This window comes from Homo sapiens, chromosome 9 (genome assembly GCF_000001405.40).
Source record: "Homo sapiens chromosome 9, GRCh38.p14 Primary Assembly".
Classification (NCBI taxonomy): domain Eukaryota; kingdom Metazoa; phylum Chordata; class Mammalia; order Primates; family Hominidae; genus Homo; species Homo sapiens.
The window spans coordinates 112,643,841-112,670,560 of record NC_000009.12 but is presented as its reverse complement, the minus strand read 5'-3'; the positions used below and the strand labels follow the sequence as shown (position 1 = coordinate 112,670,560).

At 39.9% G+C, this 26,720-nt stretch overlaps 1 protein-coding gene across 3 annotated transcripts in view, besides 1 other annotated feature; it reads right to left on the bottom strand.

Moving 5' to 3' along the window:
- Window positions 1-1,163: 1,163 nt before the first annotated feature.
- KIAA1958 overlaps window positions 1,164-26,720 on the bottom strand; it is a 182,571-nt gene continuing 157,014 nt past the window's right edge. For 2 of the 3 annotated variants that reach the window (NM_001287036.2, NM_133465.4), the window contains 2 exons: window positions 24,739-24,911; window positions 1,164-11,298 (listed from right to left, as the gene is read on the bottom strand). In NM_001287036.2, the coding sequence (NP_001273965.1) occupies window positions 10,492-11,298; window positions 24,739-24,911 (980 nt within the window). In that variant the 3' untranslated portion in view covers window positions 1,164-10,491. The remainder of the gene's footprint in view (window positions 11,299-24,738; window positions 24,912-26,720) is intronic. The other variant, NM_001287038.2, reaches the window with a different exon arrangement.
- Window positions 9,866-10,066: a silencer, noted in NCBI's record as "peak7319 fragment used in MPRA reporter construct". NCBI's record gives its function as "represses an SCP1 promoter by STARR-seq MPRAs in K562 erythroleukemia cells {active_cell/tissue: K562}" and the evidence as "EXISTENCE:reporter gene assay evidence [ECO:0000049][PMID:32103011]".

The following is a 26,720-nucleotide window of genomic DNA, read 5'->3' as shown; positions in this document are numbered from 1 at the left end:
GCCAAGTTCAAAGCAATGGCTTCAACTCCACTGGCTCTTATCGTCACTGGCACCACCCAGCGTGCTCACCTGGAAAATCGACCTGCGATCTGCTCTTGTCAGCATCATCTTCTCATGTCTCTCCTTTTAGCTAGAAGATTCTGTGAGATCGATGAGGAGGCTTGTGGAATCTGTAGTACAGGAGCTTTTTGTTTTGTTTTACATTTTCCTTAACGGAAAATTTTAAACATATAGGAAAGAACAGGCAAGAGCGTAATGAACCCTCACATACTCATCACAGATAATTTAACAATTATCTGCTCAAGGCCAATTTACACTTCATCTATGCCTCCATGTACTCTATGCCTCCGGATTATTTTGAAGGAAATGCTTAAATAATTTAGAATATACCTCAAAAAATAAACTCTCTTTAAAAACATTGAGTACAAGAATTTTTAAAAGTGGATTTCTTACATTGGGAGGCTGAGGTGGGCAGATCACTTGAGGTCAGGAATTCGAGACCAGCCTGGCAAACACGGTAAAACCCTGTCTCTACTAAAAATACAAAAATTAGCCAGGTTTGGTGGCGGGCACCTGTAGTCCCAGCTACTCGAGAGGCTGATGCAGGAGACTCGCTTGAACTCGGGAGGCGGAGGTTGCAGTGAGCCGAGATTGCACCATTGCGCTCCAGCCTGGGCAACAAGAGCAAAACTCCATCAAAAAAAAAAAAAAAAGAAGGAAATATTTTTCAGAAGCTGTTTCTTAGAAATTATTTTTTAACTGCTCTATATACAGAACAGTAAATTTCTACATTAAAAGTTTTGAGAATTAAATGTAGTCTCCAAAAGCCATAAATAATCATTTAAAGAGCAGAAAAACATTAATTAGCGGCATGTACATGATGGTCAATATAAAATCACCATGACACCATCCCAAATGGGACCTCAAGCCTGCCCAGTGAGGCAAATCTCAGTCAGAAAACCAGAGGGAACTCTGCTGGAACAACTATTTCACCCAGAGGATTGGCTCAGAGGCACAGAATATGGGTGTGGAATTCTCATATGTCCTAACATCGCAAACTACAAAGACAAACATTACCTCCAGGAATGTGACACTAAAAAACTATTCAGAAACCAGACATGCTGCTGATTAAGTTAAAATAACTAAGCTAAGAAAACAGAAAGTATACATTAAATCTTTTTATTGTTTAAAAATCTGGGTTGAACAGTCAAGCTGCATATACATAAGTGAACCCAAACAACAACAACAACCACCTTTAAAATATAACCCAGGTCCTTACAAATTGTTAACAGACTACTGGACTATCAACTAGAGGGCCGGACTGGAGGAACAAAAAAAAATCCCTTCCAACGCTGACACTCTAGGACAGAAAATAGGAGTGACACCCACTTTCCCACTCATGTGCCCCCACATGCACAGGGATGTATGCACAGGTGCGACCATCTGGGGGAAGAAGGAAAAAGCTGGAGACGGTACAATAACATCATTCACGTTACTGACCGCTTCCTACATCGTTCAGAATGATGTTTCCAGTGTTAAGAAATTATGGGTATCCTCTATATTAAAACAAAATTACAGAACAGTGAAAACGTTAGGACAGTTTTGTTGCTATTATTTGGAAAATACAGCCCCATAGAAAATATTAAATTTTTAAATAAAAGCATTGCGCTTCTTATCTAAGTAGTTAAATTGAACAGACTTTTGTTAGTCACAGCTGAGCAAGAGGACCCTGGGACAGGTTATACTTGGAATCTACCCAGAAGAGATTGTCTCCATCTCTTTGGGAAGATGTTTTGCTCTGTTTCAGAATGAAAAACTAAGGAAATGCAAAGCAGTCCATTGCCTATTCTATTGCTAAATTTAAAGCAAACATGCTGGTGTCATTGAAAATTTAGTTTAGAGTTTAAATTGGCAAAAGCTTGGGGCACAGATAAAACCATTCTATTGCCAGGAAGAAACTGAGCATCAGAGCTGACGATACTCTACACTCCTGTGTGTTTTCAAGGCCTTCCAGTGCAAGCAAATGAAAAAACAAAACAACCCAGCATTAGTTCTAACACTGACATTGTAGACTCCAGAAATAATTCGGATTTTTAAAACTGCATTCATTCCCTTGATGTCTGAATTTAAATGGCGTTCCATAAAACTTCAAGTACAGCTAAGGAAAGCATCTCACTGCCCCAGGCCATCTTTCTGCTGTTGAAATTGAACTTTTCTTGCATTTGTATTCTAAAACAAGTTTTTTGTTTGTTTTTTCCTGATTGCTTTTTGAAACACAGACTTATATTCTGCAATTTTCTGACTTTATACCCATTTTTAGTTCTGCGTTTGAGCATGGAGAAGCACATGGGCTTCAGTCTATAAGCTCTAGTCTAGGTTATTACACCCCCAACGCAGGGGACTCCTTGGCTTTTCTCACTTGGAAGCAGTGGACTCTTTCAGGATAGAGTGTTTTAAATGATGGTGGGGAAAATCAAGAGCAATTTATACATTATTTCGGTAATAAAAATGAAGAAACATGATGCTGTGGTATGGCATTTATTACACCTTATTGTATTAATTTAGCCTATTCATATGAGGACTTCGGGTGCTTTTAGATATGTAGCTTCTAGCCATATTATCTATTTAAAAGCATACATACCCTTCCTCTAGTGGATAATGTCCTGGTATTTAATAGCCCAGAGCCCACTGAAATTAGGATACTAAGCAAACATTGTTTTATTTAAATCAAGCCTCGTAGGTTGCTGTACAACTTATTATCTTTGTAAGACTATTACATAGCTCATATATTTCCTGGATGGTTATCATAACTAAAAAATTATGTATCTTAACATATAAAATATGTATAAAATTCCAAAGTCACAACTTTTCCCCCTCACAATTCTCTATTGTTTCCTGGCATTTGGTGCTATAGAGCAGAAGTCTGAAGCCAGATGCTCTTTGGTTTTCTTACAGGCAATTTGTTACTTTTTTTTCTGTTTTTTTGAGATGGAGTCTCACTCTGTTGCCCAGGCTGGAGTGCAGTGGTGCAATCTCGGCTCACTGAAACCTCCGCCTCCTGGGTTCAAGCGATTCTCCCGCCTCAGCCTCCCGAGTAGCTGGAATTACAGGCATGTGCTACCATGCCCGGCTAATATTTGTATTTTTAGTAGAGACGGGGTTCACCATGTTGGCCAGGCTGGTCTTGAACTCCTGACCTCAGATGATCTGCCTGCCTCGGCATCCCAAAGTGCTTGGATTATAGGCGTGAGCCACCGCGCCTGGCCCATTGACTTTTTTATATGCCTCATTTTATTTTTTTCTCTATACTCATCCTTAAACGTGGTCCTTTCTTCCCAGACCCTGTTCATGTGAATGTTTGTTGAATCCCTTTTTCAGTTAAATCCCAGGTCAATGGTAAGGTGATGAACATATTTCCAAGTCCAATTTCTAGTTTACTTTTCTATTGAAGCAGCATCCTTTTCCTTCCTATTGCCTGATTTTATGGGTCTCTGAACCCAACATCATACATAAAAAATCATAATATTTGCGTGTTCTGCTACTCAGGTATTTATTGTTTCTACCTTCACCTAAAGGGCTTTATTCTTGGGATGCCACCATAGGTCTAATAGTCCTTCTCTGCTTTCTGCTCCTGTTTTAGCTCTAAGATTTATGTGGGATTGAATGAAGAGGAAGTGGGTTGGGGAGAAAGAAGAGAGGGTGGATATGAACTTTTTCTCTTCCCGGTGTAATAAGCATCAGCTAGTATTTCTCTGGCTCAGGAGCTCTGACTCCGAGTAAGGTGACAGGCATGATTGGGGAAGAGGACAAGTACTAAATAGCTTTCATGTTTTTAATTTCACAGGGCCTGTTTCATGAAGTAAGCCAGGAATTGAGCTACTTGGAAACTTTTGCCCCAAGCTACCTCCATATGCCTCATAAATTACATCAATTCCTTCTAGATTCTAGAATTGAGATTTGGCCTTCTTCTGGGTTTTTCTGGGAAGGTACAAGAAGCTCACTAGGGTCTTCTGTGAGCCGGATGTCATTTTGCCAGATGCAGCTCTATTAATTTAAAAAAATCTAAATCTTCTCAGCTGTGATATGGAGGAGAGAGTTCTGGACTAACTCTCTAGTCCTGAATCTATTACTTATTGTTTGGCTGATCTTGGATGGGCCCTTTAATATCTCTGGCCTTAAATTTCCTTATTGATAAAATGGGGGAATTTGACTAGATGATCTCAGAGTTTCATATAACCTATTGCTTTGTAAGTCTCCAAAGAGAAAATAAATATGCCCCGATAAAGGAAAAAAGAACAGAAAACGAGTAAATAAGTATATTTTTCCACTTTGGGAGGCCGAGGCAGGTGGATCACTGAGGTCGGAGTTCGAGACCAGCCTGGCCAACATGATGAAACCCCATCTCCACTAAAAATACAAAAATTAGCCGAGCGTGGTGGCACACGCTTGTAATCCCAGCTACTTGGGAGACTGAGGCAGGAGGATGGCTTGAACCCAGGAGGCAGAGATTGCACCACTGCACTCCAGCCTGGGCAACAGAGTGAGACTCCTGAGTCTCAAAAAAAAAAAAAGGTATATTTTTCTATGACAGTGCTATAGCCTACAGATTATAAAAATCCTCTGACCAAAATTAAATGGCAAAAGTAAAAAACCTGAGCATGTAATTGTTGCGTAAGTTAGGAACTCCTTTACTTTTTAAGCAGTGAGTCCAATGTCAAAACAGGTGCAGCTTGTAAACTAACTTTCATTAGAATAAATTCACATGACCATCTGCCCTTTAAGGTAGATGACAGGTAATATAAATTACTTATTGGATAAAGACAGAAGGTTCCCAGTAGGCAGAAAATACTGGGGAACCGCCAGGCTTTCCAGGATCGATTAAGTTCCCAAGTGAGCAATCATTTAGTAAGAGAATACATGGAGGGGTGACACAGTATGGCTTGAGAGATGAAATATTTGCCAAACAAACCAAAACTGTGTTTAACTTTCTTAAAGTTAATGGACTTCCATGGCCTCCAGGAGGCAGTTTTGTCTCATGGACTGAGCACTAGATTTGGAGTCAGAAAACCTGCATTCTCCAACTTACAAACTTAAATTCTCCAACTTATCGGTGAGATTTTCAGAATTTTAACTCCTCTGAGCCTAGATTCTCAATAAGTAAAATGGAAATAATTAGACATACCTTGTAGAGCGGTTGTAAAGATTACATGAGAATATATGGCAGCTGTGAGAAAGCACGTAACACAGTCTTAGTCAAATCTGAGCCTTCTAGAAATTTTTATTTGAAAAAATCAGTAGATGTAACAATAACCACAGTTAAATGAAAGTTAATCAAATCAGTTCTATTGACCACCAAGTATCTAGGAGCCCATTCTCACCTCAATGGGGGGAGGGAGAGTTATCTAATTGCTATTAATAGTAATGGAACTAAAATATATCTACATATTATCCAGTGATTTTTTTGGTCTTATTATGTATTTCCTGAAATAATTAACTTCCATATAAGTTGTTTTAGCTAAATAATAAGCACTTTAATTGAGCGCAACAATCAGATTCTGGTCAACCACTGAACATGGAGAACTTCTGCAGATTTTCTGGACTGTAATGAACAAGGAATATTCAAAATCATAATAATAATGGGTAAACTTTGCCTGAAGCGTGGACAGCCTTCCTCAAAGAAGTCTTGGGAAATTCTGTTATGTCAGAATACACATATCAGACGGAGGAACTTCCAGAGATGTTCATTTAGTTATCATACCCCATGGCCTCCTCTTCTCTTAGAAAGGGAGGGCAGCGGTAGGTCACCACAAATCCCTCCCTCCTCCTGTTTTAATAAGGGTGATTCATTTATATGGGAAAATGCAACAAAGATTTTTACTGAGGAACACTGCCTACAAGATGGAATGTTTTTCTTTTAACACAGAGTATTAAAAATTCACTCCAAAAACAAAAGCATTCAAAAATATATACAAGTTTGAAACATTTAATACATACTTCTGTTCAGAGCTGTTACCAGCTTTTAACTATGTATGGGCCTTATCTGAGACTACATTGGAGATCATGTAGAGAAAATGAGGTAACTCTTCTTTGAGGTCTTCACTGTTTGCATTCATTGATGCTTAAAGGTAACGTCTACTAGCTCAAAAGTTTTTAGCAATCTACATCTCATAAAAGCAACAAAGTGATGGATGTTTGATAAGGATAATATTTAGCATTCGGTTACTTTATTTAAGTGGTAATGGTGTGGACTGTGTTAGCCTAAACTGAGAAAAATGATCAATATTCTGCTGCTTCGAGATAGCAAAATAATTTTAGAAGTTGTGGAACTTGAAAATTAAAGGAAAGTCTTATTCCTAAAGAAGGCATCCCAATATAGTGAGAAGCACTTAATTAGGAGACTAACTATCTTCAGGAATTAGGAATTTTGTGTCCTAGCTCTGCCACTTCCTAATTAATATGAACTTGAGGAATTGCAGAAGTGTAACACGGTTCACCGTGAAGACGATCCATCCCACTGATGGCACTTTATAGCTAAGCAAAGTGATATCGGCATTTGCCCAAGTGAGGAGTGAAGTAGCTCTGAGTCCAGTTATCTTTCAAGTACAGCAAGATGCTTCCGTTTCTACAAGAGTATTACTTTGTCCAGATTCTCCTAATGACTATGTCTATGAAAATGCTGAGTGTGGCATATAATGCTTGATGCTTTTAATAAGCTTGAATTAAAATAAAAATCAAAGTAACAAAATTTCACATTTCTTCAAACACCATTTATCAGCCAGGGCAAATTAATGTAGCATAAAATCCAAGGAAAGCTGGAAAATGCCACATGACCAAGGAGACCCTTCTGTCACAGCTTTGGTTAGGTACTTCCATAAAATTCCTTTTTGCAAACACACTAAACAATGGAAAAACCTTCTCATAAAGCCCCATAAGGCTTTTCTGTTCTTCCTTCACTTGTTTTTGCTTATATCTGAGGTATCAGAGCTTGGCTGTGTTGGAGGTAGAATTCATGGGCGAAAATGTGTTAACTTGACCAGATTATCATGTTTGGTTTCTTCTTCAAGTTTAACAGTTTAAGGGAGACAGAATCTCCATAATGGAAGAAATAAGTGGTATAATGCAAATTAGTTAAATAATATTAATTATTACCAAAAGTTATAACTAAGCTGGCTAACATTTATTGCATGCTTATGATGTGCCTGGTACCGCACTAAACTATATTCAATTGAATCACACCCTTTAAGGTGACATCCTAGCTTCTGTGCCAGAGTAAGCTTCCAACAGGGAGTCTGCTTAGATTCCGGGGGCCGGCGGTGGGGGGGATAGACAGAAAGTAGGGCTCCCTTTACAGCAGATATGAAAGGTGCTGTGGACAACAGCTCACCTGAAGGACACCCTATGGGTCCTCTCATAACACCTACAGTACCACCAGCCTTGACACAGAGCCCAGGGGCAACTTGTGCTTCAGTCAACCTGTGAATTCTTGATATTTATTTCTACTTGGGAGCATAAAAAACCCAAAGGTAAGTGGAGAAAACGCTCTTTACCTCCCCACTTCTTTCTCTGGGGATTCTCCTTTCTCTTGCATTAGGCCAAGAGCAGAAAATCCTGGAGTCCCCAGAAGGTAAGGTTTAGAGCTGACTGGAAGCCAGAACAACTGCCTTAGAACGCCAACGAGGACTGCTACTCTGGCCCCCTTAAGACCTCGGAGGACGGCTTTGGCCAAACACATGGACAGGTGCTTCGCCATTTTATTTTTTATTTTTTTTGAGATGGAGTCTAGCTTTGTTGCCCAGGCTGGAGTGCAGTGGCATGGTCTCGGCTCACTGCAACCTCCGCCTCCCAGGTTCAAGCAATTCTCCTGCTTCAGACTCTCAAGTAGCTGGGATTACAGGCACCTGCCACCACGCCCGGCTAATTTTTGTATTTTTAGTAGAGATGGGGTTTCACCATGTTGGTCCTGATCTTGAACTCCTGACCTCAAGTGATCTGCCCACCTTGGCCTCCCAAAGTGCTGGGATTATAGGCGTGAGCCACGCGCCAGGCCGCTTTGCCATTTTAGCAGGCTTACCAGGCTTAACCACATATTGTGCGTGTGTGTGTGTAAACACTTATGTATATGTGTTTGTGTGTATACACAGACACACACACATATACATAAATGCATAATAAAGTACCTAGTACAATGGGTGGCACACGCTGGCACTTGATGACTGTGTTTTCTTCCTCACTCTTGTTTCCCAAGGTGGCATGTCACAAACAGCTTTTAGGCTGCTCAGACACAGTTCTTTCATTCCATCAGATGCCACTGAAGATTCGCCCTCCTGATTATTAATTATAATAATTCACTTCAGAACCCAGGGATTTTATGGAACATCAACTAGGTGACAGGCAACACATTTGAGGCAGAGATGATTATTTAGCTGATGAAAAGCCACTACCAACAGAAAGATTACAACCTCTGGAGTAGTTATTGCTACCTTTGAAAAGGTCAAAATCCGAAAAGATCCCAGTGATTCCTAACGGCAATTTCTACTTGAATCTATTCAAATAAAAATGGAGGTTTTAATTAATTAGGCTGCAGGCTTTGCCCAATAGTTCACATAGGTTGTATTTCAGTTTAAGTGCAGAACCAACAAAACAAAATATCCTTTGGGTGTTTAGCAAACTAAAGGAAATTGTACCTAATGTTTTGTGTATTTCTTTTAAATCAAAACCCTAAGATCACTACAGGAAACCACACCAGAACGTTATGTGATATCAAGTCATACACTGATGATTAAATATTACCTGTTATTTATATACAGATGGAGAAATGCCGAAACTAATCTCTATTCAGGAAAGGTCAACTAGTAAACAAACTTATAAATGCACAGTGACTAAAAAGGGAATAACATTAAATCTTAAGGCAGCATTGGTTGAGTCTTCTCTGGTAAAGGAAGTATTACATATGTCAATGACTAGTGTATGATTTTTTAAGAAACCAATTAATTAAAATAAATACTAAAATAATGTTTTCAAAAAGAAAGAGGACTGATTTTAAGACTTCTACAAAATGAATTTGTATTAGAGTTTTAATTTGGGATTAGAAAGCATATTAGGAGCATAATGGAATAAAGTTACACAAGATTTTCCTCAAATGCAAAGTCAAGGTCCCTAGAAATTATTGTTACTCTTAATGAGCACTCTTTGAGCTCCTTTTTCACTTGTTGTTGCACTCAGAGTAGTTATTAGAAAATTCTGCTGATTTTTAAATAATGTGGTCAGGTTGCATTTTACCTGAGTGAAATGGTTTCAAACTGCATTACCTACCATTATGCGCTAATTTTATAACTACATCCTTAATGCTGAGTTTGCTTACCTGGTGGGGTGCCTAAATCATCGTGTCCCAAGTATTGGTGCCATCCTAAAATGATGACATGTAATTGTGGCTGAAAAGTCATACATTGACAAAAATATTCCAAATCTCTTTAATAAAGAAAGTTTGGGGATCTGTGTTTTTTGCAGCTTGTTTGGTTAGCTTTTCTTGGCTAAGACTAAAAATTACCTTTAGTTGTTTTATAGATCCAGTGGTATATGCTGACCGAATAATGGGATGACACGAAGAACAGACAGAAACCTCAAAAAATGTTCCAATCAAAGGAGCTCTCACATGGTGCTGAGAAATAAAACATAGGCACTTCTGCTTCAGGAGGTTTTCACATTTTGATCACAGATTGGCTTTTCCAAGCCATTTTCCTTCACTACTAGAAATTCCCTCATGGTACAAACTGTCTAGTTCACTAGAAGCCTTGTTCTCACAGACACCCTTCTGGTGCGTGAATCTTTTATCATAAAATTCTCTCCATTGACAGCCGAGATGGGGTTCCTACCGCTGCTGGGAGCCGTGGGAGCAGCCCAAGTCCTTGTCAGATGACCAAGTGTCGCTTGAGGATACTCCCCGACACAAGGCTGCCTGCCCTCCAGAACCACCTTATCCACCAACAGAAAAAAAAGGCGCATCAAGCGCAATCTGTCTCCTGGAAATAGGGAACGTGTCTGCCTCTCTCTAGTTTCTAATTGTGAGTGTAATTCAACAAAGTGTACAGTCTTCCTAACGTTCTAAAGCTACTGCGCTACTGGGATTTTTTTTTTAAACGACTACTTAACAGTTTCCTTTTTTGTTTGTTTGTTTTGAGAAAACCTGTGCTAGAAAGGCACTAGAGAAAATGAATTTCCTCACTCTTGTATGTAACAATTATACATTGTGTTAGATTCTAAAAGCTAACGAAGTTGACGCACATTTGGATAAACCATCCGAATGATTTAGACTCATCTAGTTTCATTTTAAAAAGCAAACCCCAAGTCAAAGGGAGGGCAGGCCACACCAGGGGAGAGCCGCCAGACCGGGAGGTCACACCTGGTCAGCCCCTGCCTCCAAGGAGCTCCAGCTGCTCCAACCCTGGCTGGCCCGAGCAGGTGACAGGGCAGTGGCCGGGCCCCAGTGGGGGCTCACTGGCAGCAGCTGTGGGAGCCAAGCCTCCGGGAGACCTGAGTGAACGAGACAAAGGTGAAGTTCTCACAGTTTTCCAGCTTGACCTTCTTGGCTAAGTTTGGGACAATTCCCCGAAGAGAGCGCAGCCCCATCCTCTGCTCCTCATACCACACGCTGCCCATGTCTGTGGCCTCCTTCCTGGCAGTCAGGTAGAAGGGGGACTTGGCCTCCATTTGGGTGGGCGGCCGGTGGATGTACATGTACTTGTAGAGGAGGCAGTAAGGGCACTGTTTGTGTCCCCGGGAATGCTCATGGTAGATCTTCCCGTGACACACTCTGGTGGAGCCGCTCCGACTCTCCCGCTTGACGCTGTCCGTCCGGGCAAAGTAGGGCTGGTTTTGGGGGTCTTTGAGCAGCTCGATGTCACCATACATCAGATCCGCATGCTCCTGCAGCGTCCGCATGTTCAGGTACTGGCTGTTGTACTTGACCACAGTGGACAGGAGAGTGATAGGGCTGTCATCCCCCAGACACCCTGCCTGCCACATCTCCTCCTCGTCAGAAAGGGAGAAGTAGACGATGTTGCGAGAACGCGCGCCCGACATGCCTGCCTTACTCAGCACCCACAGCTTCTCCTTGAGTTTCTTGGTGGAGGAGCTGAAGGTGCTGCTGGTGATGGAAAAGCCGACACCTGCATTCTTCAGGATGCGGTCCAGGCCTCGGCGAATAGCATGGAGCGAGGTGGCCAGGAAGTCCGAGCCGTCGCTCTTCTTGACGGTGACATAAAAGTTCTCGAGCAGCTCGTTCAACTTCACTGCAGGGATCTCAAATGAGACAAACACGGAGGTTACACACTTGACACTCACACAGCCAGACCCCTCCTTCCTTCTAATCCTCACCAGGGGCTGTGTTGAGGACATTCTGTGACCCCTTAGCAGGACACAATGGAAAGAACAGTGAATTTCAAACTGGAAGATCTAGGTTCCATACTTGGCTCCACCTAATCTCTTTAAACCTCAGTATTTCTTTTTTCTTTTCTTTCTTTTTTTTTTTTTTTTTTTTTTTTTGAGTCAGAGTCTTGCTCTGTCGCCCAGGCTGGAGTGCAGTGGCGTGATCTCGGCTCACTGCAAGCTCCGCCTCCCGGGTTCACGCCATTCTCCTGCCTCAGCCTTCCGAGTAGCTGGGACTATAGGCTCCCGCCACCACGCCCGGCTAATTTTTTGTATTTTTTGTAGAGATGGGGTTTCACAGTGTTAGCCAGGATGGTCTCGATCTAATTTTTTGTATTTTTTGTAGAGATGGGGTTTCACAGTGTTAGCCAGGATGGTCTCGATCTCCTGACCTCGTGATCTGCCCACCTTGGCCTCCCAAAGTGCTGGGATTACAGGCGTCAGCCACCACGCCTGGTCTAAACCTCAGTATTTCAATCTGCAAAACAGAACTCATAATCAATACCCTCTCCAAGGCTGTAATGCTTAAAGCAGAGGACCGTGAAAGGGTGTGTAAATAGTAGTGAACACCCCCCCATACACATATATACATGTGTGTCTGCAAATACATCTATATATACACACTTATTATTATTGGTTGTTTGTAACTTTCACTATTCCTCTTGGAAGGCCCTTGGTTTTCTTTGTTTGCAAATCATTTGCTTCCCTCTCCTTTAATAAAATTCAACCAAACTCTCTGAAAAATTCCTGAATTAAACAAACTCTGAATAACTTCATCATTGATTTCCTTGATATCTGCACAGAACATTTGGTTACTAGACATAGTGCTGTAGGGAAAGACATCTGATATGTCCATTTTGCACAGCAAGTTAATGCTCCTTGATTTTTCCATTGAATTTATCTGAATAGGTCCTGAAATAGCTGTGGTTTAATGAGCCACAGGTTTTCAATATCAGTTGTTTGTTTAAAAGATATGAAAAAGCTGGGCATGGTGGCTCACGCCTGTAATCCCAACACTTAGAGAGGCCAAGGTGGGCAGATCACCTGAAGTCAGGAGTTCAAGACCAGCCTGGCCAACATGGTGAAACCCCCATCTCTACTAAAAGTACAAAATTAGCTGGGCATGGTTGTGTGTGCCTGTAGTCCCAGCTACTTGGGAGACTGAGGCAGGAGAATTGCTTAAATCGGGAAGGTGGAGGTCACAGTGAGCCGAGATTGCGCCACTGCACTCCAGCCTGGGTGACAAGAGCGAAACTCTGTCTCAAAAAAAAAAAAAAGGAAGAAAAAGGAAAAGTTAATGACTGTCTTGACAGAATGAGCTCTTTATTTAGAGAGAGGTGGAAGAGAAGGAAGAGCTTGGTTATTAAGAAAGCTTTATTTTCAAGATGGAACTATGAAGGGCAAACCAGCCCTTGCTCATGGTCTATTCAAGCTGAATACATATTCTAGGACAATTAGAAAGTCCCAATAAAATTTTTTTTTTATCAAGTAGACACTGGACAGGTAACATTCATTCTTCTAATAGCCCTTAATTAAGGCAAAAATAAAAGCTGAACTATAGATTAAAAATTAACCGAACCGAAAACATTATATATCAAAATGTATGAGATATTGCTAAATATACATAATAAATATACATCATAGTTTTGAATGACATTGTTAGAAAACTTTATTGAGAATAAGCAAACGGATTATTCAACTCAAAAAGCTAGAAAAAGTAAACTAAACTCAAAATCGTAGAGTGGGGTTGGGCATGGTGGCTCATGCCTGTAATCTCAGCACTTTGGGAGGCTGAGGCAGGAGGATCACTTGAGGTCAGTTTAAGACCAGCCTGGCCAACATGGCGAAACCCCTTCTCTACTAAAAAAATACAAAAATTAGCCGGGCATAGTGGTGTGCATCTGTAGTCCAGTCCCAGCTACTTGGGAGGCTGAGGCAGGAGAATCGCTTGAGGCAGAGATTGGAGTGAGCTGAGATCATGCCACTGCACTCCAGCCTGGGCAACAGAGCAAGACTCTATCTCAAAAAAAAAGGGAGAGTGAATCAATAAAAATAAAAAATTAATGGACTAGAAAAGAAATAAATTGGGATAGATAAAAATGTAATCTTTGAAAAGACCTATAAAGTTGACAAACTTCTAGCAGGTCTGACTTTTTTATAAAGAGAGTGAGAAAGGAGGAAAGGAAGTGTGTATACACCTAAATCATATTAGGAATAAGAAAGACTATATAGAAAATGAAGAGAGTAAAGAATATGAAAGAACATCACATACTTTATACATATTAATATGAAAATCTAGATAACCTGAACAATTGTCTAGCAAAATATAATTACTAAAATGGGTTCAATAAAAGGTAAAGGATCTCAATAGCCCCAAAGAGTGTGAAATGATTGTCAAAGATGTATATTGTTCCTAAAGGGATGCCTTTATGGAATCAGTTCAGCTTTTCTTTTTCATTTAAATAGTTTCAGAGCATAGAAAAAGACAGAAAGGCTCTTCATTTTTTTCTAGCCCAAATCTGACCAATATTACATTAAAACCCAAAGTATATAAATATAAACTCCCCGAAGTAAAATACAAGCAATTTTCATTTTGCATGTTATTAGGTTAAATAGAATGTATGCACATTAGTACCACCCACAGCGAGGGCATGGCTCTGAGACACACAGATTCCAGTTCATATGGTACCTCTCAAAACAACGACTGCCTGTGTAACCAGGTATCCCAGCCTCGAAATGCTTTTTTTTTTTTTTTTTTTTTTTTGAGACAGAGTCTCACTCTGTTGCTCAGGCTGGAGTGCAGAGGCATGATCTCAGCTCACTGCAGCCTCAACTCCTGGGTTCAAGTGATTCTCCTGCCTCAGCCTCCCGAGTAGCTGAGACTACAGGTGTGTGCCACCACACCCGGCTAATTTTTGTATTTTTTAGTAGAAACGGGGTTTCACCATGTTGGCCAGGTTGGTCTCAAACTCTTGACCTCAAGCGATCCGCCCGCCTAGGCCTCCCAAAGTGCTGGGATTATAGGCTTGAGCCACTGGACCCAGCTAAAATGCATTGTAAAGTTTTGTTTTTCTTTTCTTCTTAGCCTCAGAATGTAGCCTTGAAATGTACCTTAAAACCCTTTGTTTCCCTCCTTTCCCACCAGACACTCCCTTACACCATGCACATTTATTTAATTATGTACTTATTCAACTTACACCAGGCACACTTATCTAACTATGTGCTTTCTTAGAAGTTCCAGGGCTAATGTGGAGAGAAACCAGGCCTGGAGATCCAGTTTCAAAATTCCAGAGATTACCTCAAGGCCGTTTGTCAACAACCCAGCTATTACTGAGATGAGGCCACCATGCTCCAGGTGGACCACGACTCAAGATAGCCACTGAAACAAGACACAGAGACCTTGTGCCCAGCAACACTCCCGCATGCCTCCCATTCCAAGTTCCCTTTTTAAGCCCCTCTCTCCAGCCAAAGTTGAAAATGGTTTCTTTAAGGCACTAGCCTTGGCTATTTACCCACTGCTAGCTCTGGAAGAAAGTCACTTTCCTTTCACTGCATCTCACCTTTGTTACTGGCTTTGCAAGTGGTGAGCAGCGGCACCTGTGTTTGGTTATGCCTGTATTATCAAGTTAAATTTAGGATTGCAGTACAGCGATGCTGCATCAAAACAAGGGGGGATTATTGTAGAACGTAAAAATGATTCAATCTCTTTTTTTGTTTTATAGAGGAGTGCCATAAGTTTTTGTTGGATGAATGGATTAATGACAATACAGTCAACGCATTATGGGAAGACACAGAGAGGCATCGAACCTATCCTGTGGGCATCATGGGAAGTGTTTGATTCCTGAAGTGAACACAAAATGACTCCATCTTCATAAATATTTTAATATAATTGACATTCACACATTAAAGCAAAAATATGAACTTATACATACTTGAAAAGTATTTGAAAAAATGTGACATCCATTACAAATTTTTAAAAATTCAAATTCAAATTTAGATAGGAAGAAAAAGATCCTCTTACTACAATGAAGTGTAATTTACAGGCAAGAGCTAGAAAAACTGTACCCAAATGAAAATATTCAAATCTTTCTTATAAAGTCAGGAACAGGAAGAGCTTACTGAATATCACTGTTATTATATAATACTGTTCTGGAGGTTCTCACCAACCAGATAAGACAAGAAAAAGAATTTATATATACACACACATCCATATGCATGTATATGGGAAAGGAAAAAGACAAAATACAATTGCTTTCTGATAACCTGGTTGTTGGTCTAGGAAACCCCAAGAGATTCAGCTGAAAAGCTATCAGCGTAGGTTAGTTGTATGCAAACTATAAGAAAAACAGCTTTCTTATATACCAGTGATAACCAGTTAAAATAACTTGCCAGTAACCATTGCACTAAAACAAAGCTGGCTTTGGATTTTTTTTTTTTTTTTTTGGATTTTTATGTTGTCACTTGCAACTCCCTACTTGCAGGTGGTAAGCTCTCTTTATAGTAGTCGAGACTCCTTTGGTTCCAAGAGACAAACCAAACTTGAAGCTGAGGCAGAGAGGGATATCAGAACGAGCGGACTCCAAGGCCATCAGGATTCTCATCTTTCGCCTCTGCTTCTTTGTGCGGAGTGCTTTTTTCACATAGCTGCAAGCACAGCCACCTAGCACTCCCCCAAATTTACATCTTAAAGCTTCAGGCTTAGCAAGAGACCAACTCTCATTTTCAGGAGAAAAACACCAAAAAGAAGGATTCTGATTGGCCCTAATTCAAACAACTTGCCAAAAGGTAGTCCATTCTATCCATTCTCCTAATGTGATGGTTTCTGCAATAACCATGTGGATTACAAGAGAGGAACGGTTCCTGAATAAGGGGTGCTGAGTAGAAAATCTTATTTTTTATGTTAGTGCTTTCAACAAAAACCAAAAAGCCAAACTTTGATAGTTTCCTGTGCCCTTGAGATAAATTCCAAACTGTTTACTTTGTGTGCAAGTCTTCACAATCTGCTTCTGACAGTATGAGAAGACAGCTACGATTCCCCTCCCTGTACACACACCCTTTGGCAATGAGACTTTGCTGCTTCTCCGATCAAGTAGAATCCATTTTCCCACCCCTTGAATCTGGGCTAGCCACGTGACTTATTTTAACCAGAAGTGACAGTGTGTGAATTCCAAGCCTTCAAGGAATGTGTGAATTCCCAGGCTTCAAGGGGTTCTGCTTTTGCTGCTTTTGTCTTTTTTAAGACAGAGTCTCACTCTGTCGCCCAGGCTGGAGTGCAGTGGCATGATCATGGCTCACTGCAGCATCCACCTCCCGGGTTCAAGCGATTCTCTTGCCTCAACCTCCTGAGTAGCTGGGATTACAGATGCATACCACCATGCCCAGCTAATTGTTATATTTTTAGTAGAGACGGGGTTTCAACATGTTGGCCAGGCTGGTCTTAACTCCTGACCTCAAGTGATCCGCCCGCCTTGGCCTCCCAAAGTGTTGGAATTACAGGTGTGACCGCACGTGGCCTGCTTCTGTCTTGTAGGTTCTCACTGGCTTAGTGCATGGTGTTGCCATGTGAGGAGGCCCAGTTAGACTGTGGGAATATGGGGAAAAGTTGTTTCCCATCTAACATCCAAATGACTGCACCCATATGAGTACCCCAAGTGAGACTAGTAGGGGAGGTACTCAGCTGAGCTCAGTACAAAACGCTAACTCACTCATCAAATCATGAACAAATAAAATGGCTGTTGCTTTAGGTCCCTATATTTTTGAGTGGTTTGTTATGGAGCCGTAGATGACCAGTACACACCCTATTTCTGTAACCTGACCTTTTGGTTCCCTTTGTACTCTATTTTCCAGCTTCATCGAACTTCTTGCCATAACTAGAAACCATAAGACCTTTTCATGCTACTTCCTCTGCCAAGAATGCTTTTTTCTACTAACCTTCTCTATTTGGAAAATCTCTATTCATTCTTCCAGAATTAGCTCAAATTTTACTTTCTACGTCACCTAAGCAAAGTTATTCTTTCATATGGGATCCCATTGCACTTAATTTAAATTTTTATTATGGTCCTTTCCATGTTGTACATTCTCTTACCTAGTTTATGTCTACCTCTTGAAGTGGACTGAAAGCTCCCTGAAGACAAGAACTACATTTCATTTATGACTGGGTCTTTAACACATACCAGAAGTCCCGAAATACATGATTGGCACTATGTAACCATGGGTTAGGCGGGGCACAGTGGCTCATGCCTGTAATCCCAGGACTTTGGGAGACTAAGGTGGGCGGATTGCTTGAGTTGAGTTTGAGACCAGCCCGGGCAACATGGTGAAACCTCATCTCTCCAAAAATTACAAAAATTAGCCAGGCATGGTGGTGTACATCTGTAGTCCCAGCTACTCTCAGAAGGCTGAGGAGGGTGGATCACTTGAACCCCGGAGGTAGAGGCTGCAGTAAGCCAAGATCACACCACTGCACTCCTGCCTGGGTGACAGAGTAAGACCGTCTCAAAAGACAAAAACAAAAACAAAAAAAACAATGGGTTAAACCAACGAATTAACCTAGTGCCAGGCGAACCAAGCTGACTTAAGATACAGAACGTTTTTCTTAATTTCCACAGAACATTACAAGTCTCAAAGTAAAATCACAGCCAAAGCAATTCCTCGAGAAATGTCAAGTCACAACACTTATATTGTTTGCACACAAGAAACAGTTCATTCTGGCCCGTGTTGTTTGCCTCCTTAGTTTTCTCTGACTCAGTTTTAGTTAGTGATTATTCCCCCAGGTTACTAAGGTTTCAATCAATTATAAAGACATCGCAAGAAACCATTTTCCTTTAGTAACCATTCTGAATTGATTCACCATGTCAAGACTCACTATGGATGATAAAATTGGCTTCCTTGATGTAAAAATGACCAAAGAGAAGTCAAAGACTGGTCATGGGGCTGATGACACCAAGTGGGAAAGAATAAAATAAAAACTGGGCTGGGCACGGTGGCTCACTCCTGTAATCCCAGCACTTTGCGAGGCCAAGGCAGGTGGATCACTTGAGTCCAGGAGTTTGAAATCAGCCTGGGTAACATAGTGAGACCTTGTGTCTAAAAAAATTTAAAAATTAGCCAGGCATGGTGTTGCACGCCTGTAGTCTCAGCTACTCAGGAGGCTGAGGTGGGAGAATCACTTGAGCATATTTTTTATTTCTTTTTGTTTCACATTCATTGATTTTAGACCTTCTTTGATAAGCATTTAAAGCTAAAAATTTTTTCTCTAGACATTATTTTAGCTACAACTCACAAATTCTGGTAAGTGGTGATTTAATTTTCATTCAGTTCAAGACATTTTATAACTTCCTTTGTGATTTCTTCTTGGTCCTTTGGTTATTAGTAATATGCTAACTTCCAAGTATTGGGTATATTCTAGTTAGCTATCTGTAATTAATTTATAATTTAATTTGGCCAGGCACAGTGGCTCACACCTGTAATCCCAGCACTTTGGGAAGCCGAGGCAGGAGGATCACCTGAGGTCAGGAGTTCGAGACCAACCTGGCCAACATGGCGAAACCCTGTCTTTACTAAAAATACAAAAAATTAGCCAGGTATGGTGGCAGGCACCTGTAATCCCAGCTACTTGGGAGGCTGAGGCATGAGAATCATTTGAACCTGGGAGGCACAGGTTGCAGTGAGCTGAGATTGTGCCACTGCACTCCAGCCTGGGGGATAGAGTGAGACTCTGTCTCCGAAAAAAAAAAAAATATGTATATATATAGAGAAATATAAAAAATATATATATAGAATTAAATATAATTTAATTCTATTGTGGACAGAGAACATATTCTATATGATTTTAACCCTTTTAATTAAATTAATTGAGATTTGTTTTATGACCCACCATACTGGTCTAGTTTGGTGAATATTCCATGGCATTTGGAAAGAATTTGTATTCTGCACTTGGTTGGAGTGCTACATACAGGTCAATTAGGTTAAGTCAGTTTGACAGCGTTAAGTCCTTATCCCTACTGATTTTCAGTCTACTTGTTCTATAAATTACCAAGGGAGAAGTACTGAAATCTCCAATTGTGGATTTGCAATTTTTCCTTTAAGTTTTATCATCTTTTGCTTCATGTGCTTTTATGCTCTGTTTTTAAGTGTATACACATGATCTTCATGTCTTCTTTATGAATTGATGTTTTTATCACTATGAAATTTCCTTCTTCCTGTTAAAATTCCTTCTGTGGAATTCTACCTTGTGTGATATTAACAGCTACTTCAGGTTTCTTATGATTAATGCTTGCATAGTATATCTTTCTCCCATCACTTTACTTTTAACATTTCTCAGTCTTTATATTTAAAGCCAGATGTGAATAGCACATAGTTGGTCCTTGCTTTTTTAAAAAATCCAGTCCGACAGTATCTCTCTTTTCATGGGTAGATATAATTATCAAGATAGCTGGGTTTACAGCTACCATATCTTGCCATTTGTTTTTCATTTGTTCCATTGGTTCTTTGTTCCTTTTTTCCTCTTCTTTTCCATTTAATTTTTTTTTTTACAGTTCCACTTATTTCCACATTAGGATTATCCACTCTATCTCTTTGTTTTATATTTCAGTCTTGCTCTAAGATTTGCAATATCTATCTTTAACTTATCACAGTCTACCTTCAAATACTATACCACTCCGCAAATATTGTTGGAACTTTACAACACTACCCTTTCATTCATCCACTTATCCTTTTTGCTATTGCTGTATGCATTTTTTCCTCCATATATAAAATATAAACCTTGCAATATATTGTTATGAGAAAAACAAATTTTATATGCCATTTCAAGTACTTTGCATTCCTTTGTGAGATCCTTGTTTCTGTATGGTATAATTTTGCTTCTGCCTGAAGAGCTTCTTTTAATATATATTGTTGTGTAGGTCTTTTAGTGATGAATTCTCTCAGCTTTGGTTCATCTGAAAGGTCTTTATTTCACCTTTATTTTTATTTCCTCTGAATATAAAATTCTATGTTGACAGTTTTTCCTTCAGCTTTTTAAAGATGTTATTCTATTGTCTCCTGGTTTGCACAGTTTCTAATGAGAGTTTTTTTTCTTTTTTTCTGTATCAATTTAATATTTTTACTATTCCATTTTATCTTGTTATGGTTTTCATTTAAAAAGTCAGTGATCTTTGAAAGAAAATTTAAAATTTTAAAAACTTACATATTTACCCATGTAGCTATCATTTCCAGTAATCTTCATTCCTTTGTTTAGATCCATATTTCCATGTGGTATCATTTTCCTTCTGGCTGAAGGACTTCCTTTAACATTTTTCTAAGTGTGAATCTGCTGATGATAAATTCCTTCATTTTTGAATGCCTGAAAAGTCTTTATTTGATCTTCATTTTTTAAAGCTGTTTTCACAGAGGATAGTGAAAGTATTTTTCTTTCAATAATTTAAAGAAATTGCCCCTTGCCTTTTAATTTTCATTGTTTCTAATGAGAAATCTGTTGTCAACCCTATCTTTGTTCCTCTGTATATAATATGTCTTTTTTATCTGGCTGCTTTTTTCTCTTTATCATTGGTTTTAAGTAATTTGGTTACTTCCTCCTCCTCCTTTTCTCTTTTTCAGGGATTCCAATTACATGTACATTAGGCTCCTTGAAATTGTCCCACATGTCAGTAATGTTCTGATTATTTTTTAAAATTCTCAGGTGGGGTATGGTGGCTCATGTCTGTAATCCCAGCACTTTGGGAGGTCCAAGGCAGGAGAATAGCTTGAGCCCAGGAGTTTGAGATTAGTCTGGGCAACACAGAGAGACATCGTCTGTACAAAAAAAAAAAAAATTAGCCAGGTGTGGTGGCTTATGCCTGTGGTCCCAGCTACTCAGGAGGCTGAGGTGGAAGGACCACTTGAGCCCAGGAGATTGAGGCTGCAGTGAACTATGACTGGACTGCACTTCAGCCTGGGTGACAGGGCAAGGTTCTGTCTCAAAATAAAAAAAAAAAATTCTCTTTTCTTTCGGTGTTTCATTTTACATAGTTACTATTGCTATACATTCAAGTTCACATATTTTCTTCTCTAAGTAAAATATGCATAAGCATTTATTTTTCATCACACATTGTAGTTTTATATCTGTAAGTTCATTTTTGGTCCTTTTTATATTTTCCATGTCTCTACTTAAATTTTTGAACTTATCAAATATAGTTACAATAACTGTTTTAATGTCCTTGTCTTCTAGTTATATAATCTAGTTAGTTCTGGCCTGGTTTTGATGGATTCATCCTTTAAGGGATGTATTTTCTTGCTTCATTGCACGTCTGATAATTTTTGTTTAGATGCTAGACATTGTGAATTTTATCTCTTGTGTTCTAGATATTTTTACATTACTATACATATTCTGAAACTTTGTTCTGGGACATGATTAAGTTACTTGAAAATGCTTTGATCCTTTTGGATCCTTGTGAGATTCTCATTTTGGATCAAAGCATTTTCAAGATTTCTTGGATGGGATTAGAGCAGTGCTCTGTCTAGGGCTAATTATTCCCCATACCTGATGCAAGTCCTTTCTGAGTACCCCATGAATCCTGAGGTTTTTCCAGTTTGGCTGGTGGGAACAGGTACAGTTTCCAATTCTGTGTGAGTGCCAAGTACTGTTCCCTCTAATCTCTTCAGGCAGTTCTTTGTCAGCCTCAGATAGCTTCCTCACACATATATGTTGATCAGTACTCAGCTGAGTATTTGAGGGAGATTATCTTCAGAGCTCTTAGGTTATGTTGCTGTGCAGCTCTCTAGTTCTGAGTGCTCTGTCATGACAACTTTAGCCATGTTGGTCTCTCTGGACTCTCAGCTCCATTTCCTTAATTCAGCAAGTCCGCTGGGCTCTGACTGGATTCTCCCTCCCTGTACCACAAACCTACTATTAATTCTCTCAAGGCAGTAAGCTGGAGCAGTCACAGGTATTACCTTGTTTGCTGTCTCTTGGAGGTCACTGTCCTTAGCCTATTATATAATGCCTTGAAAAACATTGTTTTATATCTTTCATCTGTTTTATGGTTGTTCAAGAATAAGGGTAAATCTGGCTCTGCAAACTGGCCAAAGTGAAAGACTTAACTGATTTTTCTCCCATGTATGAGTCACATGTTCCCATGTCTAGTAATATTTGATTGGACACTAGAAATTGTGAAATTTACAATACTGGATTCTGAATTTTGTCATTTTTTTCTCAATAAACGATGAAATTTCTTTCTAGTGAACTTGTATCCTCAGCCTTTCTAAACTGTGATCTCTGCCTACCCTCAAATTAGTGAGATTGCCAAACTTTGAGCAGATTCCCCTCCCTTCATTGCAGTTCAGAAATTGCCTCCAGGCAGAAATCCTGAGATGACAGCGCTCCTCTCACTTGTTTCCTGTGCCTTAGGGCTCACATTCTGTGCAGCCCATTCTGTCTAAAAAGAATTGTTTCACATGTTGTGTCTGGTTTTCTAGGAGGGTAATTCTGGCAAGAAATGGAAATTTCAATTTGTTTTTAAATCTGCTAGATTACTGTGATTAGTATATTGTTGCGTATTTCTATATGTTTTCATATATAGTCTATAATCTGCTATCTAAAGGCCTTCGTGTCTAAATCTGTTGTTTGTTGTTTTTATTCATCCTCATGCATTGTGGTTTATTTCCTTCAGCGCTGTTTTTTTTGTTTGTTTGTTTTTTGTTTTTTTTAACGAGCACATATGTAGTTGCTCTGAATCTGCAAAAAAACCTGAGCACCTACATTTTGGATATTTTCCTTAAAAGAGTATTATCATATGACTTTGCCAGGAGCCAGGGTATGCTACCTACCTAGAACCACTTTAGGACCCTTTCAGGTCCTCTTTTTCATCAAGGATTCATCAGCTCATCTTCCCTTTTTAAAATAATGTTATCAACATATGCTCTCAGACAGGACCCTGCCTTTCATATGTGCTTACTGGTCACTGCTTCTGTTGCACTTTTTTTTTTTTGGTCCCATGGATGTTTCCCTGTCTTCAAGTACAGTAGAAAGGCCCCTCACACTATGTAGTGTACCATGGTGCCAGAAGTAGAAACCTGGGTTTCCTGTCCTATTTCATCTGTTGTTGATTCCCTAAGCACATCACTCAAACCTGGAGATCTCACTTGCCCTTGGGCTTCAACTATGACCTCTATTTGCAAGACTTTTCAATGTATACTTCCAGCTTTAACAGTTCCACCATGTTTTAAGTCCCACATTCCTAACTCTTTGTTGGCCATTTCCATCTGCAAATCTGATTTAGACTCAATGCAGTCAAATCAAAATACAGTACCTTTATGTTCTATCTCCACATGTCCAAGATTTTTTCCTTCGATTTACAAACCTCAAGCATTTCAAGTTGGATGAGTTTTTCAGTTTTCCTGTTTGTTTTTTAGAGGCAGCGTCTTGCTATGTTGCCCAGGCTGGAGTACAGTAGCTATTTACAGTCATGGCTGTAGCACACTGTAGCCCTGAACTCTTGGGTTCACGCAATCCTCCTGCCTTAGCCTCCTAAGTAACTGGGACTGTTACAGGTGTGTGCCAGTACCCCTGGCTTTCAAGTTGGAAGAAATTTAAGAGCTCATTTTACAAATGGGGAAATGGAGGACCAAGGACATTAACTTTTTGCTCATCACTTCCAATTATTTCCCTAAAATACCACTTTCATTATGTTTCTTCTCTCTCAAACAACTTCAGTGGTTTCCCTTTTGTCTAATCCTTAGGATGCTTGCAGATTTTATGGTCACAGTGTTTTCCCTACTACAATAGTCCCTTTCTCTGCCCCTGCAATAATCCTTTCAAATAAAGTCTCTCCTTAGCAAAAACAAAACAAGATATTTCAGTGATTTTCCAGTGTTCACAAGATTTTAGCCTGGCACTTAAGGGTTATCAGAATCTGGTTTTATTGTCCATGATACCAAGATATGAGGCCTCTGCTGTAGTCAAGTGAGTCTGTCTCCCCAAATTTTATTCTTCCTCACATCACTCAGCCTAGAAGGCTCCCGTCCTCATCTAATTCTACTAAAATCTTATCTTTCCTCAAAAAAAAAAAAAACCACTTAAATATCAATTCTCTCTCCAGTTTTACCAAATTGAAATTAATTTAGCCCTCTGAACTTTTCAGGCATTTCCAATCTATAAATTCATAAAACGCTTGTTAAATTCTGCTTTGTGTGTGGATTTTATCTATTTCATGTTCTTCCAAAGTTTCCCCAGGCAGAAAGCCACCGTTCTGTGTTCCCTACAATGCTTAGCACAGTGCCTGGCATTTGGAAGCTCAGTGAAGTTGGCTGAAAGAAGTAAACTCAAGAGTCCCTTACCTTGGTGATGTCTGTGTGGTCTTTGAGCCCGTTGGTCATGCACCAATAACGCCACACATTCAAGGCGTACCGCGTGGCTTTGGTAGTATTTGGGCTTACTGCACTGGTACACAGATCATTCAAGTCATCATTAATATTAAATACAGGAAATTTGTTGAGCTTAGTGGAATAAGCTAGAAATAAAAACAATAAAAGCATTAAAATAATTTGCCATTCCCTTCTTTAGAGAATTACATCTTGGGATGATAAATAACAGAAAACTCTAAAAGACAACACTTTAAAACATGAAATGTCTATTAAAGTATATGTATATCTATATCTATCTGTATATATTAGAATAAGTAGGGAACAATACTTATAGCATGGAATCAATGCAGTAAGCTTGCATTTAATCCCAACAATTTTGCCATATATACTAGCTTATGTACTAATGCAGGCATTCCAATAATAGAAGTATAAAAATAAATGCTGAAAATCAAAGACTGTTCTATCTAAAATTTTCACTGAAAAAATAGCATTTCTATCAACAACAACAATCAAAAGGAAGAAAGAGAAAGCAAATAAAAAATGATATACCCTTAGCACATGAAGACCTATCATTTATTTGTAATTTACATTTTCAAATGTCTTGTGTGCCATCATGGGCAGCCTTGAATTAAATGGTGTTAGCATTTTTTTTTTTTTTTTGAGACAAAGTTTTGCGCTTATCGCCCAGGCTGGAGTGCAATGGTGGGATATTGGCTCACTGCAACCTCCGCCTCCTGGGTTCAAGCGATTCTCCTGCCTCAGCCTCCCAAGTAGCTGGGATTATAGGCACCTGCCATCACGTCTGGCTAATTTTTTATATTTTTAGTAGATGGGGTTTCACCATGTTGGCCAGGCTGGTCTCAAGCTGCTGACCTCAGGTGATCCACCCACCTCGGCCTCCCAAAGGGCTGGGATTACAGGCATGAGTCACTGCAGCCAGCTCTGTGTTAGCATTTTTTTTTTAAAGTTTTGTTCACAAAATTCATAGAGAGAGGTGTTTAAATCCTGATTCCACAACCCATCAACCAGCTTTGAATCAGAAGGGAAGGTCAAGTGAGAGAAAAATTGTAGGAAGGAGGGAGGAATATTTCAGAGGGGCTCACATCTCCTCAGAGGAAAGGGAACATGGTTTAACTTGCCATAATTACTTCAGATAAAGACAGGTCTCAACATGTCCAATTTTAAATGTTGGTTGCCAAAGGAATAACTAGCTGGCTTTTCTTAAGACCCTGTGATCTGCTAAAACCAGGCTTAATCTGTTCAAATTGTAAGTCAAGGTAGAGCATCTCAAAGTAAAAACACTTCATCTAATAGTTCTCACCCTCTCTGGACTATTGATGAATGTATTCAAACAAGGTGCTAACTGGCTAGGGCTGTGGGAAACAGCAAAATGAAAAATTAATGCAATGACCAAGGTGAACTGCAAATTGGGTTCACTTTACCTCCCTCACCTCACCTTTCCTGCTCCCTCTGAGCATCTCCTCTATACCAAACTACCAGTCTCTTACCGTCCCCAGGATCTGTCTGCACCAGGACACCCACACTACACCTTCCCCATGCACTGCCTGAGCAATCTTCACATGGTTGTTTTTTGTTTTTTGTTTGTTTGTTTGTTTTTGAGATGGAGTCTCGCTCTGTTGCCCAGACTGGAGTGCAGTGGTGCAATCTTGGCTCACTGCAACCTCCACCTCCCAGGTTCACGCGATTCTCCTGCCTCAGCCTCCCAAGTAGCTGCGACTCCTGGTGACCACCACTACGCCCGGCTAATTTTTGTATTTTTAGTAGAAACGGGTTTTTGTCATGTTGGCCAGGCTGGTCTAGAACTCCTGACCCCAGGTGATCTGCCCACCTCCGCCTCCCAAAGTGCTGGGATTACAGGTGTGAGCCACCGCACCCGGCCTTCACATGGTCTTTGCGCCAATCAAAATACCGTCTTTTTTTTCAATTCGAAATCC